The sequence below is a fragment of the Homo sapiens genome, chromosome 1 (genome assembly GCF_000001405.40).
Source record: "Homo sapiens chromosome 1, GRCh38.p14 Primary Assembly".
NCBI lineage: Eukaryota > Metazoa > Chordata > Mammalia > Primates > Hominidae > Homo > Homo sapiens.
The window spans coordinates 112,932,079-112,952,493 of record NC_000001.11 but is presented as its reverse complement, the minus strand read 5'-3'; the positions used below and the strand labels follow the sequence as shown (position 1 = coordinate 112,952,493).

Genomic DNA, 20,415 nt, shown 5'->3' with positions numbered 1-20,415 from the left:
TTCCTCAGTTGTTTTTAAATAATTGGTTGGTTTGATTTGGGGTCCAAACAAGGTAACATATTACATTTGTTTGGGATGTCTCTTAAACTTTTTAATCTATAGGTTCCCTCATCTTAATTATTTTCCTCGTAATGTATTTTCCTTGTAAGGTTGGTGCAAATGTCATTGTGGTTTTTGCCATTACTTTCAATGGCAATTGAAAAACCGCAATTATGTTTGCACCAACCTAATATTTGTTGAAGGAACCAGGCCATTTTTCCTCCGGTTTCTCTCATCCTGGATGTTGATGAATATGTCCCTCAGGTATAGATTTAACATGTCCTAGTTTAATATGTCCCTCTATCCTTTGTATTTCTTGTAAATTGGTAGCTAGATTGAAGACTGAACAAATTTAGTTCAGGTTTGATTTCCGAGTGGGAGTGTTGGGGGAGAGGACAAGTATAATTCCTAGATATTGGTGTGTACTTCCTTCAGGAGGCATATATTTGGTTATCCCTCTTTGTACTACACTAATAGCCTGTTTTCATTATTTCACTAGTGGTTTGCAAGTGGAAATAATTATGCCTTTAATTCTACCATTTATTTTTAATTTAACTAGAATACCTCTATAAAGAGAGGTACAGTTTGAATAGGAAGGACAAGTTAAAGTTTATGTTTTAATACAATATGCTATGTTATTGAGACACTGTCGTTTTCTGGAAATGTATTTAAATGTATTGAGGTATATCCTCTTAAAAGGCCACTATTTTAAGTTGTAAAAGTGTTTTTAGCACTTGATGTTAACATTTCAAATGGCTTTTAGTATTTAGAATATTTAAAATTTTTGTCCTTAAATTTATGGCGTTTCTTTTGGTCTTTCATGCTCTTTCTTGGAGGACTTTGCTGTTCCCACAGCTTTTAGAGAATACCTAGTAGAATCACTACTAAATCCAAATCTTTAGCTATAAAAGGATTCCAGATTGTAAGTTCCTCAAGGACAGGGGTTGAACACTCTTATTGATGATCTGCTTTTCCAGTTGCTTCTTGGGCATTTTGAACTTAATATGTCACTTAAAGCTCATTATCTCTGCCTGTTCTCAACTTTCCTTCATCCTCCAAACCTAGTTTTTTTCTTCTGATTCTACCATTCTTGAAGGTAGCCAGGCTTAAAACCTCTGAATCTTCTTAATATTTCTCCTAGTAGGCCCCCCTGCCCTACCACATGCAGTTGGTGCCAATCTCTTGTCCCTTTTGTTATTTCTCGTCCAACCCCCCACTTTTCATTTGTAATACTGCTACCTAGTTTATATATTTTTCTCTTTGCAGGAAGGGAGTGTTATAGGAGATTTTTACAATGAATGGAAGGACTAGTTTAGGTGGCATGTTTGGTTCCTAGTGTCATCCTGAGAAGAGATTAAAATGCAATAACAATCTTTTTTTTAAAGATAGAATGTATAGAATTTATACATTCTAAATTTATAAATTATAATTTTATAAATCTATAAATTATAATTTATAAATTTATAAATTCACTCTGTCGCCCAGGCTGGAGTACAGTGAAACCATCATGGTTCACTGCAGCCTGTAACTCCTGGGCTCAAGCAGAGCCACCTCAGCCTCTTGAGTAGCTAGGACTACAGGCATGGGCCATAATGCTCAGCTAATTTATTTAAACATTTTTTTAGTGATAGGGTCTCACTATGTTACCCAGGCTGGCCTCAAACTCCTGGCCCCAAGCCATCCTCCTGCCTTGGCATCCCAAAGTGCTGGGATTACAGGTGTGAGCTACCTCACCTGTCTAGCAATAACAATCTTCTGGGATCACAGTATGCATAATGATAAGAAGGGTTCACATCCACCACACCAGTGAGGCAGCTGCATGGGCTGAGCCATTGAAGGGTGTCACTGACCATTTGTCCTGCAGAGTAAGATCCAACTCTGTTGGTTATCTACACTATCATGTTGCTAATCACAACTCATGATATTGTTGAATCTGACTTAATTACAATGACTTAGCCTTAGTATAGGAGAATTTCCTCAAAATCTACTGATATCGTAAGCTATATATTTGATCATTGATTGAAAAATATGTCTTCCTTCTGATTTTGCTCTTCCTACACAAACCTTTTGAAGATTATTGAATGAATGAAAGTCTATACACTGCTGTGGTGTGTTAGACTATTTTGGAGGTAACAGGGCCTTTGTAATTTGTCTTATTGAGTTTTGGAAACCAAAACTTATGTTTGTACTTTATTGACCTGCTCTTCTGTTCCTGTATGAGAAATTTTTATCCTGGGGTCTGCATATTGATCCCCTAAGGTCTATTGAATTCGAGGGGTCTGTGAACTTGTTTGGGGGAAAAATATTATATCTTTTCATTAACCTATAACTAAAACTTGGAATTTCATTCAAATATGAGTGTAGGCAACAAACCATAGTTGTATTAGCAGTACCTGTGACTTTGTCACCAGTAGAAATCATGTACTTCATACCATAATGCAGCTGTTATAGCTATCTTGAAATTGTTTAAGCTTATCACTACCTCAAAATTAGTGTGATTATTAGACCCACTGCTGGATCTTATTTTATTTTTTAAAAGCACATTGTTAATTGCAATTAAAGTATTTTGACAGTTCTATCTTTGCATTTTATTTTATGCATTTAAAAACATTATTCTGTCTGGGCACGTGGCTCACGTCTGTAATCCCAGCACTTGGGAGGCTGAGGTGGGTGGATCACTTGAGCCCAGGAGTTCAAGAGCAGACTGGGCAGCATGGCGAAACCCTGTCTCTATTTGTTTAAGAAAAAAAAATAAAATTATATTAAAAAAAGAAAACATTATTCTGACAAGGGTTCCATAAGTTTTACTAAATGGCCAAAGGAATCCCTGGCACCAGAGTCTAAGGACCCCTGCTCCTAACTTCTTTACTTCTGTTCCAAGGTTAGAATGAAGTTAGCCAGAACCTGTGAAGCAACACGGCACACAGATGCTGATGTCACAGGATTCTACAGAATCATGATGCCATTTCTTGGTTATTGACTTGGTTTTATTTACTAATCATCATAAATTCTGACCTCACAAATGAGAGGGAACAAAATGTTTGTGTATATGCTAACAGAGAATAAAATGATTGTCACAAATTAAGGCATAATAATTTTCCTTTGAGGCCGGGCACAGTGGCTCACGCCTGTAATCCCAGCACTTTGGGAGGCCGAGGTGAGTGGATCACCTGAGGTTGAGAGTTCGAGACCAGCTTGACCAACATGGAGAAACCCTGTCTTTACTAAAAATACAAAATTAGCCGGGCATGGTGACGCATGCCTGTAATCCCAGCTACTTGGGAGGCTGAGGCAGGAGAATCGCTTGAACCTGAGAGGTGGAGGTAATCCCAGCACTTTGGGAGTGCGAGGCAGGCGGATCACAAGGTCAGGAGATCGAGACCATCCTGGCCAACACGGTGAAACCCTGTCTCTACTACTAAAAATGCAAATATTTTACTACTAAAAATACAAAAAATTAACCGGGCATGGTGGTGGGCGCCTGTAGTCCCAGCTACTCGGGAGGCTGAGGCGGGAGAAAGGCGTGAACCCGGGAGGCGGAGCTTGCAGTGAACGGAGATCACGCCACTGCACTCCAGCCTGGGCAACAGAGCGAGACTCTGTCTCAAAAAAATAATAAAATAAAATAAAACACTCATTTGAAAATTGTATATTGGCCGGTGCAGGGGCCATGCCCATAATCCCAGCACTTTGGGAGGCCCAGGCAGGCAGAACACCTGAGGTCAGGAGTTCGAGACCAGCCTGGCCAACATGATGAAACCCTGCCTCTACAAAAATATAAAAATCAGCTGGGCATGATGGCGGTTGCCTGTAATCCCAGCTACTTTGGAGGCTGAGGCAAGAGAACTGCTTGAACCCGGGAGACGGAGGTTGCATTGAGCCCAGATCGCACCATTGCACTCCAGCCTGGGCAACTGAGCAAGACTGTCTCAAAAAAAAAAAAATTGTATATTTTAGGCTAGACTCCATCTAAAAAAAAATATATTGTATATTTCTAATAAAATAACTGACAATTATCTTAATGGCAGCATAGTCTAAGATTTATATCGTTAGCAATTAAAAAGGCTATTTAATGGTGCTGTTTTGAGGTAAGAATGCTGACTTTGATACATTTTTAATGCCTGCAAATATCTTCCCAAAAAGCTTTGCAAGTAAACATTTGAGAATAGTATACCCTGGTTTCTCTTCAGATCACATGAACTTTTCTCTTTTTTTTTTCTCCCCCGCCGCCCCCGGCTGGAGTTTCGCTCTCATTGCCCAAACTGGAATACAGTGGCGTGATGTTGGCTCACTTGCAACCTCCGCCTCCTGGGTTCAAGCGATTCTCTTGCCTTAGCCTCCCAAGTAGCTGGGATTATAGGCGCATACCACCACGCCTGGCTAATTTTTTGTATTTTTAGTAGAGATGGGGTTTCACCATGTTGGCCAAGCTGTTCTCGAACTCCTGACCTCAGGTGATCCGCCCACCTTGGCCTCCCAAAGTGCTGGGATTACAAGCGTGAGCCACCACACCCAGCAAATTTTTCTCCTTTTACTAAAGATTTCCATGGAGAGAATGGTGAATCATGTTTCAGTGCCAAAGAGTACTCAATTTTAATACTCTTTTGTGAGATTTGTCTGTTACTGGTGAAGCAAACAAGAAAACAAAACAACTTAGATCTTTATTGGAGATAATGGGGGAAGTCAAAGATAGCATCATAATGAAGTTCAGACTTACTCAAGGAATTTTTAAACAGTTACTGTTATATACAAGCAGTTATTAGAAAGTTATTAGAAGAGATTAGAGATGTAAATACATATTTAAAATATGGTTTAAAAACGTTTAAAATGAGACTAAAACTTTAAAATGAAATGTTATATTACTTTGTTGTCTCTAGTCCTCAAAGATTTTGTTAATGTAAAACTAAGTAAAATGTTAATTATTTCTGTGAGTGAATAGTTCAATTTAGCTCTTTGCAAGAAAAGGAAAAGCTTTCTCTGTTGTTTATCTTTTTCTTAATGAATTATAATCCACTTATTCTCCCTATTTGGCATCTGATAGTGGAAGTGAAGTAGATTGTAATAGAAATACCATCTATTATTAATATATTCGAATACTCATTTACATTCAAAGTAACATAAATGATATAATCCTGACAACTCACTTATTTGTAACTTTAATCCAGCCAGTACATTTCTTCAAATTCTGGAACAGGGTAGGTTATGTGTTAATAAATTTAAATGGCCCACTTAGATATCGATTTGTTGAATATATTTTGAGTTGCTGTAGAAAATAGAACACATACCATTATTTATTCCAGAATATAATTTAGAATTCTGCCAAGCAAAACATACTATTGATGGACATAGCCCCCAGCTTTCTTTTCTCCATGACATCTCATGTCATTTTATAAAATGTGAAATGGGTCTATATTTGGAAACTCCTGGCCAACCAAGAAATAAATTAATATGTGAAAGGGACATAGGACTCTCAACTTAGGTAGTAGCCAGTTTTTCAGTCTGTGAGAAGAAGGCAAAAATGAAGCATTAAAAAAGGCAAAATTTGCTGGTGTAATAATAGCTCAGAAAACAAGATAGATAAGTTCTTTGTGCCAAGAATAGCTCAGAAAACAAGATTGATAAGTTCTTTCTCCCAGCGCTTTGGGAGGCTGAGTTGGGTGGATCATCTGAGGTCAGGAGTTCAAAATTAGCCTGACCAACATGGCGAAACCCCTTTCTACTAAAAATACAAAAAATAGCTGGGCGTGGTGGTGCATGCCTGTAATCCCAGCTACTTGGGAGGCTGAGGCAGGAGAATTGCTTGAGCCCGAGGGGCGGAGGTTGCAGTGAGCCGAGATAGTGCCACTGCACTACAGCCTGGGCGACAGAGCGAGACTCCCTCTCAAGAAAAACAAACAAACAAAACAGAACAAAACAAAAACTTTTCTGCTTCTTTCACTGTAGAGAGCAGTAGATCTAGAAAGCATTACATCACTGAGAGGTTTTTTTTTCTGGTTTCATATTTTTCTCTACTTCTCAAAAACTGGGAAAATTAGATTACTTGAAGTTCATCTAATGCTAATATTTGGATGAGATATAGGGATTTTTTTTTTTAACTCAAGTGGATCCGCCTGCCTTGGCCTCCCAAAGTGCTGGGATTACAGGTGTGAGCCACTGTGCCCAACCTACTCTTAGTTTTTTAATATTGCTGTGGCCATGGTTGTTAGTTGAAGATACTTTTGCCACAAAATGCAGTGAAAGAGTGAAAAAATAACCCTTTGTTACACTGTGGTAGGAAGAAGAAATTGGTAGAATCTTAACAGCAAGTTGGCAATATGAATAAAAAATAGAATTTGCAGAAATTCTTTGTCTAAAATTATATCCTAAATTTCTAGTTTTCCACAGTAGTGTGGAAAATACTATAAAAGGAAAAAAGAATGTAGCAACCTAAATGTGCAACAGTAGGTTTTTTTGTTTTGTTTTTGAGACAGAGTTGTGCTCTTGTTGCCCAGGCTGGAGTCCAATGGCATGATCTTGGCTCACCTCAATCTCCGCCTCTGGGTTCACGTGATTCTCCTGCCTCAGCTTCCCTAGTAGCTGAGATTACAGGCGTGCGCCACCATGCCTGGCTAATTTTGTATTTTTAGTAGAGATGGGGTTTCTCCATGTTGGTCAGGCTGGTCCTGAACTCCCAACCTCAGGTGATCTGTCTGCCTCGGCCTCTCAAAGTGCTGGGATTACAGGTGTGAGCCACCGCACCTGGACAACAGTAGGTAATTTTTTTTTTTCTTTTTTTTTTTTGAGGCCGAGTCTTGCTCCATCGCCCAGGCTGGAGTGCAGTGGCACGATCTCGGCTCACTGCAACCTCCGACTCCCGGGTTCAAGTGATTCTCCTGCCTCAGCCTCCCAAGTAGCTGGGATTACAGGCACCCGCCACCATGCCCAGCTAATTTTCATATTTTTAGTAGAGACGGGGTTTCACCACGTTGGCCAGGCTGGTCTCAAGCTCCTGACCTCAGGTGATCCACCCGCCTCGGCCTCACAAAGTGCTGGGATTACAGGCGTGAGCCACCATGCCCGGCCAACAGTAGGTAATGTTTTAAAGTATAATACATCCATAGACCAGAATGCTGTTCTTCAAAAACAGCATTGTGGAACTAGACACATCAAAAAATGTTTCCGGCCAGGCACAGTGGCTTATGCCTATAAGCCCAGCACTTTGTGATGCTGAGGCGGGTGGCCTGAGGTCAGGAGTTTGAGACCGCCATGGCAAACAGGGCGAAACCCTACCCTTACTAAAAATACAAAAATTAGGCAGGCACGGTGGCAGGCACCTGTAATCCGAGCTATTTAGGAGGCTAAGGCAGGAGATTCGCTTGAACTTGGGAGGTGGAGGTTTCAATGAGCCGAGATCACGCCACTGCACTCCAGCCTGGGTGACAGAGAGAGACTCCGTCTCAAACAAAAAAAAAAAAAAAAAAGAGGCTGGGTGCAGTGGCTCAGGCCTGTAATCCCAGCACTTTGGGAGGCCGAGACGGGCAGATCATTTGAGGTCAGGAGTTTGAGACCAGCCTAGCCAGCACGGTGAAACCCCATGTCTACTAAAAATATAAAAAGTAGCCAGATGTGGTGGCGCCCACCTGTAATCCCAGCTACTCGTGGGGCTTAGGTATGAGAATGGCTTGAACCTGGGATGCAGGGGTTGCAGTGAGCCAAGACTGCACCACTGCACTCCAACCTCAGCGACAGAGCGAGACTCCGTCAAAAAAAAGGAAGTTTCTGATATTAATGGAAAATGTCTATTAAGCAGCATATACATACATATTCCATATTTATGTTTATTCATATGCATGACTATCATAAAAGGAAGTCAGGATTTACATCAAAACATAAATAACTTTAAATGAGGATGGTAGAATGACAGGTAAATTTTATTTTCTATTCACACATATCTTTTAATTTTTCTATAACACACATGTATAACTTGTCATGTTTTAAAACTACTACTTTGTGGGGCTTTGTTTTTCGTTTTTTGAGACGGGTTCACTCTGTTGCCCAGGCTGGGGTCCAGTGGCGTGATCTTGGCTCATGCAATTTCCACCTCCTGGGCTCAAGTGATCCTCAGCCTCCCATGTAGCTGGGACCACAAGTGTGTGCCACCACTGCTGTCTAATTTTTTGTATTTTTTGTAGAGACAGGGTTTCGCCATATGGCCAAGGCTGGTCTTGAACTCCTGGACTCAGGTGATCCTCCCGCCTCTGCCTCCCAAAGTGCTGGGATTACAGGTGTGAGCCACCATACCTGGCCATATTTTCTTTACTATCAGGTAATACATGTTCATTGGAACAAGTCAGTCAACATAGTTATATGGAAAGAGCATATTAACTCCCCTTCTCAACCTCCAGCAATATGGCATTTTAAGTATGCCTATTAGAACATATTTATTTAATTAATTTGTTTACCTATTTACTTTCTTTCTTTCCCAGAATCTAAGCTCCATGAAGGCAGGGATTATGTCTGTCTCTTTTTCTCTTTTACTGCCTTTACTCCAGGCACTCAGATTTGTTGAATGAATGGCCAAAAAGTTTGGTGTATATCCTGATATACTTTTTAAAAATGATGATACAGTTGTATGGTGTGTAATTTTTTAAATCTTAGTTTGCAATCTTTTTTTTTTTTTTTTTTTTTGAGATGGAGTCTCATGCTGTCACCCAGGCTAGAGTGCAGTGGTGTGATCTCGGCTCACCACAACCTCCGCCTCCTGAGTTCAAGTGATTCTCCTGCCTCAGCCTCCTGAGAAGCTGGGATTACAGGCGCCCACCACCATGCCCGGCTAATTTTTGTATTTTTAGTAGAGACGAGGTTTTGCCATGTTGGCCAGGCTGGTCTCAAACTCCTGACCTCAGGTGATCCACCCGCCTTGACCTCCCAAAGTGCTGGGATTACAGGCGTGAGCCACTGCGCCCAGCCGGTTTGCAATTTTAATTGCAAAAACAATACGATGAAGTTTGATAATTTAGGACATTGATATTTGATCTTCTTTGGCTATTATCCTAAAATATTGCCCTTCTACAAATCTTTCTTTGTTAGCTAACAAAGTATACCCCATTCTTCCTTTCCACTCACTGCAGCCTCCGCCTTCCAGGTTCAAGAGAGTCTTCTGAGTAGCTGGGACTCCGGGCGCACGCCACCATGCCCGGCTAATCTGTGGTGCTTTTAGTAGACACTGGAAAATTCCGGTTTTCAATTTAAAATGAATGGGTCACTATCTTTTGAAAAAAGTTGTACTGATGTGGGTACTTATCCCAAAAGTAAGTGATCCATTTTATACCCCCACACCTTTCTTATATAATAGCCTCATTCTCCCTAAATAAAATCATGCTTATTTGGTTGAACAAATGATGTAAGTCATTTTCTTACAAGGAGAATTAAGAGTGTTTGCTACTAGATTCAGATTATTTAACATAACGTTGGCTGAGATTGACAAAAGAGGATTAAATAAGTAAATATATACACACAAGTGCGTGCATATATGTATATCTATGTTCATTACCTTTAAGTTTGCATGCTAGTTTGCCCATTTACAAATATGTTCACTTCATCAGTTCTCTATACTACTTTAATCCTCCTCATATCTAAAACAACTACTGTACAAGAGGATTAGGATTGGGGTCACAATAGTAGCATCATAGGGTATTGTAGAGTATTAAAGTCAAGTCAAATTAATTGGAATTATATATCAACATATGCCCAGTAAATACAAATGAAGATTGATTCTTACTCAGGCATATTGTATCTTAATGAAATTTAGTTGAAGTTGCAAATAGAAAGCCAACATTTTCCATTTGTTTATTTTTCATTGAAACAGCTTGACTGGCTTTGTTCATGATATAGCAAAAGTAGCTCTTAATGCTGGTTAGCAGAAACATTGATTGCCAGGCAGCTGTCTAGGAAAACTTAAACCCATTTCACCTAACAAGCCAGAAATATTTATAATACATGTTATTTGGTAGTTAAATCCCATTCTCTGGAAATTTCTTAAGGCTGGTTCTTTATGTCCACATGCCTTCATGTTACTTGAACTTTGTTTATGCCTTTTCAAAAAATTTCAGCATTGAAGCTTTGCTCAGCTGACTCAGTTGGACTAATATTTAGCAAAGATTCTTCACCAAAAGTCATTCACAAGGTAGAAAAGTGTCATACTGGCCTGGCACAGTGGCTCACGCCTGTAATCCCAGCATTTTGGGAGGCTGAGGTAGGCTGATCACCTGAGGTCAGGAGTTTGAGACCAGCCTGGCCGTCATGGTAAAACCCTGTCTGTACTAAAAATACAAAAATTAGCTGGGCATGGTGGCACGCGCCTGTAATCCCAGCTACTTGGGAGGCTGAGGCAGGAGAATTGCTTGAACCCAGAAGGTGGAGGTTGCAGTGAGCCAAGATCGCACCATTGTACTCTAGCCTGGGCAACCAAGAGTGAAACTCCATCTCAAAAAAAAAAGGGGGTCATACTTGAACTGCAGTGGACAGAGAGAGGTGTCAGAAAGGCTGGAAATTAAGGGATATTGTTTATGCTGGAGAAACCCTCCTCTCAACCTCCTTCTGTCTTACTTTAGGTGGTGAAAGGGCCCTGAGATCTTACAAACACTCTCCATTTCATCACGTATCACAAATTTAGCACATGCTATATTTACTTGAAACAAAACAGGGCTTTTCTAGATCACAGTAGAGATGAGGACAGTTACAAATGTTAGCTTTCGTATGTTTTATGGTCCTGTAGACTCCTGACAAGTGTGCATTGCGAGCTTTCTTGTTAGGAAAAACTTTGGACAAATTTCTGGTTTGGAGAATGCTCTCCAAGAATACGTATGGTATTTAGGACTACAAGAAGATGTGGGCCAGGCATGGTGGCTCACACCTGTAATCCCAGCACTTTGGGAGGCCAAGGCAGGCGGATGACCTGAGGTCGGGGGTTTGAGACCAGCCTGACCAACATGGAGAAACCCCGTCTCTACTAAAAATACAAAAATTAGCCAGGTGTGGTGGCAGCATGCCTGTAATCCCAGCTACTTGGGAGGCTGAGGCAGGAGAATTGCTTGAATCCAGGAGGCGGAGGTTGCGGTGAGCCAAGATCGTACCATCGCACTCCAGCCTGGGCAGCAAGAGCGAAACTCTGTCTCAAAAAAAAAAAAAAAAAAAAGGTGTGAAGAGGTCTATAGGGGATAAACTTGATAAGCCAAAGAACTCTTTTTTTATACTACATCATTATTTATTTATTTATTCAACTTTTATTTTAGATTCTGGGGTACATGTGCAGGTTTTTTACAAAGGTATATTGCATGATGGTAAGGTTTGGAGTACAATTGAACCCATCACCCAGGAAGTAAGCATAGAACCCAATAGGTAGTTTTTCAACCCTTTGCCCCTCTTCACTTCTCCCCCATCTTGTATTCCCCAGTGTCTATTGTTCCCATCTTTATGTCCATGTGTACCCAAAGTTTAGCTCACACTTATAAGTGAGAAAAATATTTGGTTTACTGTGTTAGTTTGCTTAGGATAATGGCCACCATCTTCATGTTGTTGCAAAGGACATGATTTTGTCTAAAGAACTCGTAAAGGAAAGTGAATTATTATTTTGTTCTATAATAGAATTTTTGCATGTTCTTTTTTAACTGACTAAAAATAGTAAATTTGACATCCTTGATCAAAATTATTTTAATAAGAAGTATGTGCATACTTTTTATCAAAGTATAAAATATATATTATTTAAATAGAGCCTAAATGATGTACAGTGAAAAATAGTGTATTCTGCACCATCTCTGACCATCCTTTCCAGTATACATATATATCAGCTTTTTTCTATAATTAATACATCCCTGTTATACATCAGAATTTACTGTAGTGCTGAAAAAAACATTGTCTAACCTGATTCTGATTCAGTTGAATGCACCAAGATGATATGCAGTCTGAATAAACCATTAGGTATCAATTTAGTCACGTTTGTGATCAAATTGAATTAATGATTTAAAAAAACAGCCGTTCTCAAAGTGTGGTTTTTTTGGATCCTTCAAGGACCTCAAGACTCTCTCACGATTGAGGTCTTTAGATTTCACTTAAACTAATCATCATGAAACTATCAGCCGGGCCGTGACTGATGCCTGTAATCCCAGCACTTTGGGAGGCGGAGGCCGGCGGATCACTTGAGCCCAGCCCAGGCGTTCAAGACCAGCCTGTGAAACACGGCAAAACTTCATCTCTACAAAACATACAAAAATTAGCCAGGCATGGTGTCTCATGCCTGTAATCTCAGCTACTCGTGAGACTAAGGTGGGAGGATCACTTGAGCCCAGGAGCTACAGTGAGGCACTGCACCACTCTACTCCAGCCTGGGTGACACAGCGAGACACTGTCTTTAAAAAAAAAAAAAAAAAAAAAAAAATCACCCATCAGGTTTTGGTGTAGTATCAAAGAGGAATATCCTCAATTATCTGAAAATGCTATTAAAATACTCCCTTTTCCAAATACATTTCTGCCTTGGAACAAAAACTTTGAGATTTGTTGTCTTTTTGTGCCAGGGGATGGGCAGGGGCGGGGAGTGGAGGGAGTATGAGGCTGAGTTTTTGTTTAGAATGATGAAAGAAATAATACATAACTCATTTTAAAAAGCTGACAAATGCAGGGCACGGTGGCTAACGCCTGTAATCCCAATACTTTGGGAGACCGAGGTGGGTGGATCACCTGAGGTCAGGAGTTCAAGACCAGCCTGGCCAACATGGTGAAACCCCTTCCTACTAATAATACAAAAATTAGGCCGGCATGGTGGCACATGCTTGTAATCCCAGCTACTCAGGAGACTGAACCAGGAGAATCACTTGAACCTGGGAGGCAGAGGTTGCAGTGAGCCGAGATCATGCCATTGCACTCCAGCCTGGGCGACAAGACCAACTATATGTATTTTCCACATTTTCTTAATCTGTTCCTCCGTAGATGGACATTTAGGTTGCTTCCATATCTTGGCTATTGTGAAAAATGCTGCAGAGAACATGGGAGTGTGCAGGTAATCTCTTTGAGATCCAGATTTCAGTTCCTTTGGATATATACCCAGAAGTATGACTGCTAGATCAAATGGTAATTGTATTTTTAATTTTTTGAAGAATCTTCATATTGTTTTGCATAACAGCTACACCAGTTTATATTCCCTCCAACAGTGTACATGGGTTTCCTTTTCTCCACATCCTTACCAATTCTTGTTCTTTGGAAATCTGCTGTCTTTAAAAAGAAATACGTTGGCCGGGCACGGTGGCTCACGCCTGTAATCCCAGCACTTTGGGAGGCTGAGGCGGGTGGATCACGAGGTCAGGAGTTCGAGACCAGCCTGGCCAACATGGTAAAACCTGTCTCTACTAAAAGTTAAAAAAAAAAAAACTGGGCATGGTGGCGTGTGCCTGCAATCCCAGCTACTGAGGAGGCTGAGGCAGGAGAATCGTTTGAAACCGGATGGCGGAGGTTGCAGTGAGCCGAGATCGCGCCATTGTACTCCAGCCTGGGCAACAGGGCAAGACTCCATCTCAAAAAAGAAAAAAAGGTAAAAAAAAAAAAAAGAAATGCTTTCTATTTATTGGTAGAGTGGTCTATGTAAATAATTTTAAACTGTAAATTATTAACTAAAATACTGATTTTTTTAGGGATTATAAATATGAATTAAAAGCAAGGTCTAAAATCAATTATCATAAACAGAATTCTGAAAGATAGGCCTAAAATCCTTCTTTAAGCATTCGAGTTAGCAAGTTGTTAATTTCTCTTATAAGCATAATATATTTAACTTCTTGTAATGTGGATAGGATTTTCCCAGAATGGCAGGGTAGGTAAAGAGAGTTGGAAGTTTGCAGAGACAGGTTTATATTTTTTAAGATTCTTTATATGCAGTTTGATCAAAATTATGCATTTCGTAATTGCTGAGTGTTTGGCTAGCCAGATCCAGTAGTTACATTCCTTCTTTGACTAGCGCTTTCTGCTTGATTTTTTCATTGTTTTGGTTTCCTCAATGTATTCAGTTTCAAAGTGGAAAAGAAACGAAAGTGAGGTTTCCTAGACTTTGAATCTTGGGAGTTAACTTGGGACAGGTGGTTCTGTAAACCATGAAGCTGCATTAGGGCTAGTTACAGAGAACAACAGGTTATCTACTTTAGCAGCAATAGCTTCAGGAAATCAGCCTTTCTGGATTTGAATGTTTCCATGTGTTTGAAACCTAAAACTAGTTTACACTCATTAACAGATTATTTTAAGGTTATTGGTTTTAGATACTTTCTGCTTCTTTTAAGTTCACAAACTGGTCATTGTCATTTTAGGAAAAGACAGTGGCTTCATTTTAAATGTTGATGAGGAAAGTGTACAGAACATGATGAATACTATTTTCAAGGCTTTTGTAGCTCTTCTCTTTGGGAGTGGGGCAAGGACATGGCAGGTATGGAGCACAGCTTCGGCTTTCCAGATTAGTTTACTAGCACAATTCATGAGAGTTACGAGAAAAAAATATCAGAAAATCTAGAAGGTGATTCTTATCACCGTCATTGCCAAGAAAAGTTAGGGTTATTGTTTTCTATCATCCTTTAGAAGATGAATTAATGAAGAATTTTTCTCATTACCCTATCACTTTGTTTTTTAGTCTCCCCATCACTCTTGGGCAGTAATAGCTAAGCTGATAGGAAAGCTACTGTGCATATTGTAAGGATTAAAATCTTAAACTTTAGTCCCTTTTAGCCTCTGGGCTTTAGCATACAAAGAATGCATGTGCTCTGCTTTCTCAAGGGAACTCTGAGTACTCTGCAAGGGGGCCTGCTCTCATAATTTACTTTTTGAATGAGCCCTTCTGTTTATAGCTGAGATTTGCCAGTTAAAAAAGGAAATAATATGCTTAGATAATATTAACTGACTTTTTTTTTTCAGTTATGTACCATCAGTATTTTTAAGTTAACAGGGATAGCCATTTGTCAGGTGGTGGCAGAATTGTGTTGAATCTGTGTGTGGTTTTTTGAAGTGTTCTGTTTTTCATAATGATTTTGCATGCTCTTATTTCTTATACTTTCTTATTTCCTTTTAAATTTTTCTAAAGTTTCTTGAGGCTTTAAATCTAATTTTGGCACTGTGGAATAAGGTATTAACTTGATGAGGCAAGCTTTAGTGACTAAAAATTGTAACTGCCTTAATTGGGACAAATCATAGCTGGCAGCTAAACTCAAAGTTTAATCACGTCCAGCACGTATTAGCTGTTCTAGTCAGAGCTTGATGTGTTAAACAGCCCTACTGTCTGTGTGTGGGTGTTCTATGTGTGTAAATATTCTGAGATGAATTAATCTTTTTAGTGGTTCTTTGAAATTTTTTAAGTGTTCTCTTTTTTCATACTTAGAAGAAGAAAAAGCTCATAAAATCAATGCCTGCAGCAGTTTTATTTAACATCATTTTAGAATTCAGGCTGTTGCTGTTAGCAGAGCTGACCTGTTAAATAGCTTTTAATCATATTCATTCCAGTAGAAATTTTAGGAAACCTTAACTTGTAAATATTTTTATCTCACCCAAATCCTAGGTAGATGAAATGCCCTAGGACAAAGACCTTCAATTTTTAAACTGGGTTATATTTTTGAAGGAATTATTCTGCACATCCTCAGGTTGAGAGATAACCTTAGCTAAAAATTACCTCTTGAGAATGGATGCCTGATCTCTACTTTTTCTTTTCCAACTTGAGTTATCCAAAAGCCTTTTACTCCCACTACAAAAGAGAGGTGTATCTCTTATTCATCCCATTTCTTATGGTGGTTCACTGTCCTAAGCAATAAAAATCTCAAAGGAAGGGAAAATTCCAGAATGCATAGTCCTAGAGAGAGTCCCATGATAGAAATCCAAAAAGAGATTAGGTCAGAAATATTGGAGAATATTGAAAAATTATTTCATCTGGACAACAAACTCCTGCCTTCTCCTTTTTTTTTTTTTTTTTTTTTTTTGAGACAGAGTCATGCTGTGTCACCTAGACTGAGCAACCTCTGTCTCCCAGAGTCAAGCAATTCTCCTGCCTCAGCCTCCCAAGTAGCTGGGATTACAGGTGCCTGCCGCCATGCCCAGCTAATTTTTGTATTTTTAGTAGAGTTGGGGTTTCACCATTTTGACCAGGCAGGTCTCGAACTCCTGACCTCAAGTGATCCACCCGCCTCGGCCTCCCAAAGTGTTTGGATTACAGGCATGAGCCACTGCCCCCGGCTGCCTTCTCTAAGTTAGAATTATTATTATAAAAATGAGATAGTTATCACAGAGATGTGTATCAACACATTTATTTGAATTAAAATGAAGTGTGCTTTTGTTTAACAGAAATCTCTTTTACTTGATTGGTTTGAAAATGAGGACTGGCCAGCTATTTCCTGTAAGTTACATCACCTTAATCTTAAGTTACATCACCTTAATCTTTAGTGCCAAACACAGCTAAAGTACAGAAGAAACCATCCAGAATGAAGTTCAGAGAAACAAAGGAATGAATGATAACATGACAACATAGAAGGGAGAGTAAGAGAGTAGATAGCATGGGAAGGTCCAACCCATATCCAGTTGGAGTCTGAGAAAAGTGAAAAGAGAGAATGGGGGAGAAGCAATATTTGAAGACATAATAGGTGAGAATTTTTCAAAATTGTCAGGAAGACTGTTTTGTCAGTATGAATATTTGTTAGCTGAGTCATCTGTATTTTCTAAGTAGTTGTCTTCTAAGATTTTTCTCTTTATCTTGTTTTCTCAAACTGAGGATTTATATTGTTCATCAAGTCTATAATATCCTTAGTCATTAACCCTTAGTCATTTACCCAGACAGTTGTCTCTTCTCCATTCTCTATTCTCTTTTTCCAAAGTCCCATTAGATAAATGTCAGATCCTCCCATTCTAAAGCCTTTCTTTCATAGCTTCAGAATGACACTCCCCTGAATTCTGACTAATCTCTTCAAACCTATTCTTAAGGTTTACTGACTCTGTATATAGCTACATCCAGTCTTCCAGTTAATGTGTTATTAATTTCACTGACTTTACTTTTTTTTTTGAAGCGGAGTCTTGCCGTGTCACCAGGCTGTAGTACAGTAGTGCAATCTCAGCTCACTGCAACCTCCCAGGTTCAAGCGATTCTCCTGCCTCAGCCTCCCAAGTAGCTGGAATTACAGGCATGTGCCACCATGCCTGGCTAATTTTTGTATTTTTAGTAGAGATGGGGTTTCACCATGTTGGCCAGGCTGTTCTCGAACTCCTGACCTCAGGTGATCCACTCTCCTCGGCCTCCCAAAGTGTTGGGATTACAGGCACAAGCCACCATGCCTGGCTAACTTTACTTTCCATTTCTAGTTCTATTTCAAATCAATTAATCTTCTTCTATGGATCTTTTTTAGAGAAAGACATAATTTTAGAGAAATACACAGTTTTTTCTAATGTTTTAAATGCCTTGTTTTATGTCTTTAGTCATTTAAATATTCATATTGCTATGCCTATAGTTCCTGAGTGTCTAATCCAACTGTGTTAGATTGGCATTGCGTTTGCTCACGGTTAATTGGTTCTTGATGTGTTCACAATTGTGAGCTTATGTTTGGCAGGCCTTTGTGGGAAATCTTTGCTAGCAAAATCAAATATAGTGTATCTCTGGAAGAACAACAAAGATATTCTACAGATAATTCCCTGCCAAGCATGAGCTCACACTGGCCTGAGTTGTGAATTCTCAGAAGAATCTTCTGTCCTCCTCTTGTCTCCTTTTCTTTATCCTCATCTTTGTCTTCTTCCTCTTTCTTTTAACCGTCTAGATAACTAAGACAAAGAAGTTTGCCTGCCCTCTCCTTTTGCTTCTGTATTGTCTCCCTGTGCCACAGAACAAATTTTATTCCCCTTGTCACTGTCCTTGGACTTTCTTTTGGTTTTGATCAGCTTTATTGAGGTATAATTGACATAATAAAATTTACTAACTTGAATGTATACTTTGATGAGTAACTGTCACCATCATGATAATAAAGTATTTCCATTTACCCTAAAAGTTATCTCATACTGCTTTGCAGTCAGTCTCCTCTCCCCAACCCCTGGTAGCCACTGATCTGTTTTCTATCCCTTATCTAAAATGCCTGGGATAAAATGTGTTCTGGATTTCAGATTTTTTCAGATTTTGGAATATTTGCAGTTACTTAAGCAGTTGAACATCCCTAATCCAAAAATCCAAAATTCGAAATGTTCCAATGAGTATTTTCTTTGAGCATCATGCTGGTGTTCAGAAAGTTTCAGATTTTGGGTTTCATATTTTCAGATTAGAGAAATGCTTGACCTGTGCTAGAATTTTGCCTTTTCTACAATTTAATATAAATGTGACCATATAGAATACAATCTTTTGTCTAGCTTTTTTTTCCTACTTAACAGAACGCTTTTAAAATTCATCCATGTTATCGCATGCATCAGTAGTTCCTTTTTATTGCTGAGTAGTATTCTATTATATGGCTGTACCATTGTTTATCCATTCATTTGTTGATGGACATTGGGTTGTTTTCAGTTTTTGGCTATTATGCATCAAGCTGCTAGAGAATTTTTTATATAAATCCTGGGTGATACCTGACACTGTAATGGCTGGCTCATATGTTAAATATATCTATAACTTTATAAGGAACTGCCAAAATGTGTTCCAAGGGACTGTAACATCAGCAATATGAGAGTTCCATTGGCTTTATAACCCCACAAAGTCATGGAATTATCTGTCTTATTTTTAGTAGGTATGTATTAGATTGTGATTTTAATTTGCATTTTTAAATAACCAACGACATTCAGCATCTTTACATGTGCTTGTTTATCATTCATGTATCTTTGGTGAAGCACCTGTTTAGATCTTTTGCTTTTTTTTTAAGCTGGGTGATTTGCCTTTTTGCTATCGTTGTGCAAGTTCTTTTTATGTTCTGGGTATGTCTTTTCTTGAGTATATTATTTTGCATATATTTTGAAGTCTAATTTTAAAACTTTTTTTTTTTTTTTTTTGAGACGCAGTCTCGCTGTGTCGGCCATGCTGGAGTGCAGTGGCGTGATCTCAGCTCACTGCAACCTCCGCCTCCCGGGTTCAAGCGAGCGATTCTCTTGCCTCAGCCTCCCGAGTAGCTGGGACTACAGGCACACGCCACCACACCCAGCTAATTTTTGTATTTTTAGTAGAGACAGCCAGGTTGATCTCAAACTCCTGACCTCGTGATCCTCCCGCCTCAGCCTCCCAAAGTGCTGGGATTACAGGCGTGAGCCACTGCGCCCGGCCAACTTTTTTTATAGTTGTTTCTTTATGTTCCTTCAGAAATCTTTGCTTGATTTAAATATTGAGTCTTTCAGTCCGAGAGGATAGGTTATCTATTTTAACTTCTCAGTATTATAGTTTTCAGTGTACATATCTCATACATCTTTTGTGAGATTTATTTCTATATAGTTTACCATTTACAATAGCATTTAAAAATGTTTTCATATTTGGATTGTTCATTGTTAATATATAGAAATACAATTGATTTCTGTGTATTGATGTTGTATCCTAAGACCTAGTCAAATTCACTTATTTGATGTTCCTTAGGGTTTTCTTTATACATATCTGTCATCTGAATAAAAACAACTTTATTTATTATTTATTTTTTAGAGACAGGCCTTTTTTTTTTTTTTTTTTTGCGACGGAGTCTCCCCTTGTCACCCAGGCTGGAGTGCAATGGCGCGATCTCGGCTCACTGCAACCTCTGCCTCCTGGGTTCAAGCGATTCTCCTGCCTCAGCCTCCCAAGTAGCTAGCACATACCACCATGCTTGGCTAATTTTTTGTATCTTTAGTAGAGACGGGGTTTCACCATGTTGGCCAGGCTGGTTTTGGATTCCTTACCTTGTGATCCGCCCGCCTCAGCCTCCCAAAGTGCTGGGGATTACAGGTGTGAGCCACCGCACCTGGCCGAGACAAGGTCTTGCTCTGGAGTGCAGCAGCATGATCATAGGTCACTGTAACCTCAAATTCCTGGGCTCAAGTGATCCTCCCACCTCAGCTTCCCAAGTAGCTAGGACTACAGATGTGTACCACCACACCCAATTTTTAAACAATTTATGTAGAGGTAGGGTCTCGCTGTGTTGTCCAGGCTGTTCTTGAATTTTTGTCCTCAAACGATTCTCCTACATTGGTCTTCCAAAGCATTGGAATTATAAGTGTGAGCCACTGCACCTGGCCTATTTTATTTCTTCTTTTCCATTCTTTATGCCTTTTGTTTCTTTTTCTTGCCTGCATGCACTGGCTAGAACCTATAGTAGAATGTTGTGTATAAGTGGTGAGTATATCCTTGCTTTTCAGGAAACTTCTTGTATGGAGCTATTTTCATCATACTCCCGCAATGTCCAGTGTCCT

General features: G+C 39.4%; 1 protein-coding gene across 3 annotated transcripts in view, besides 1 other annotated feature; it reads left to right on the top strand.

The window, feature by feature from the left end:
- Positions 1-20,415, top strand: part of SLC16A1 (solute carrier family 16 member 1) — a 44,350-nt gene that overhangs the window by 3,703 nt on the left and 20,232 nt on the right. Inside the window, exon 1 of one of the 3 annotated variants that reach the window (XM_047428789.1) lies at positions 16,472-16,670. The exons of the other annotated variants lie outside the window; for them this stretch is intronic. The gene's annotated coding sequence lies outside the window, so the exon portion shown is untranslated. Of the gene's footprint in view, positions 1-16,471; positions 16,671-20,415 lie in introns of those variants that run through there. 3 annotated transcript variants of the gene reach the window in all.
- Positions 8,172-8,672: an enhancer, noted in NCBI's record as "H3K4me1 hESC enhancer chr1:113486444-113486944 (GRCh37/hg19 assembly coordinates)". NCBI's record gives its function as "activates a minimal SCP1, AML or CMV promoter by ChIP-STARR-seq in naive H9 embryonic stem cells {active_cell/tissue: H9 hESC(naive)}" and the evidence as "EXISTENCE:reporter gene assay evidence [ECO:0000049][PMID:30033119]".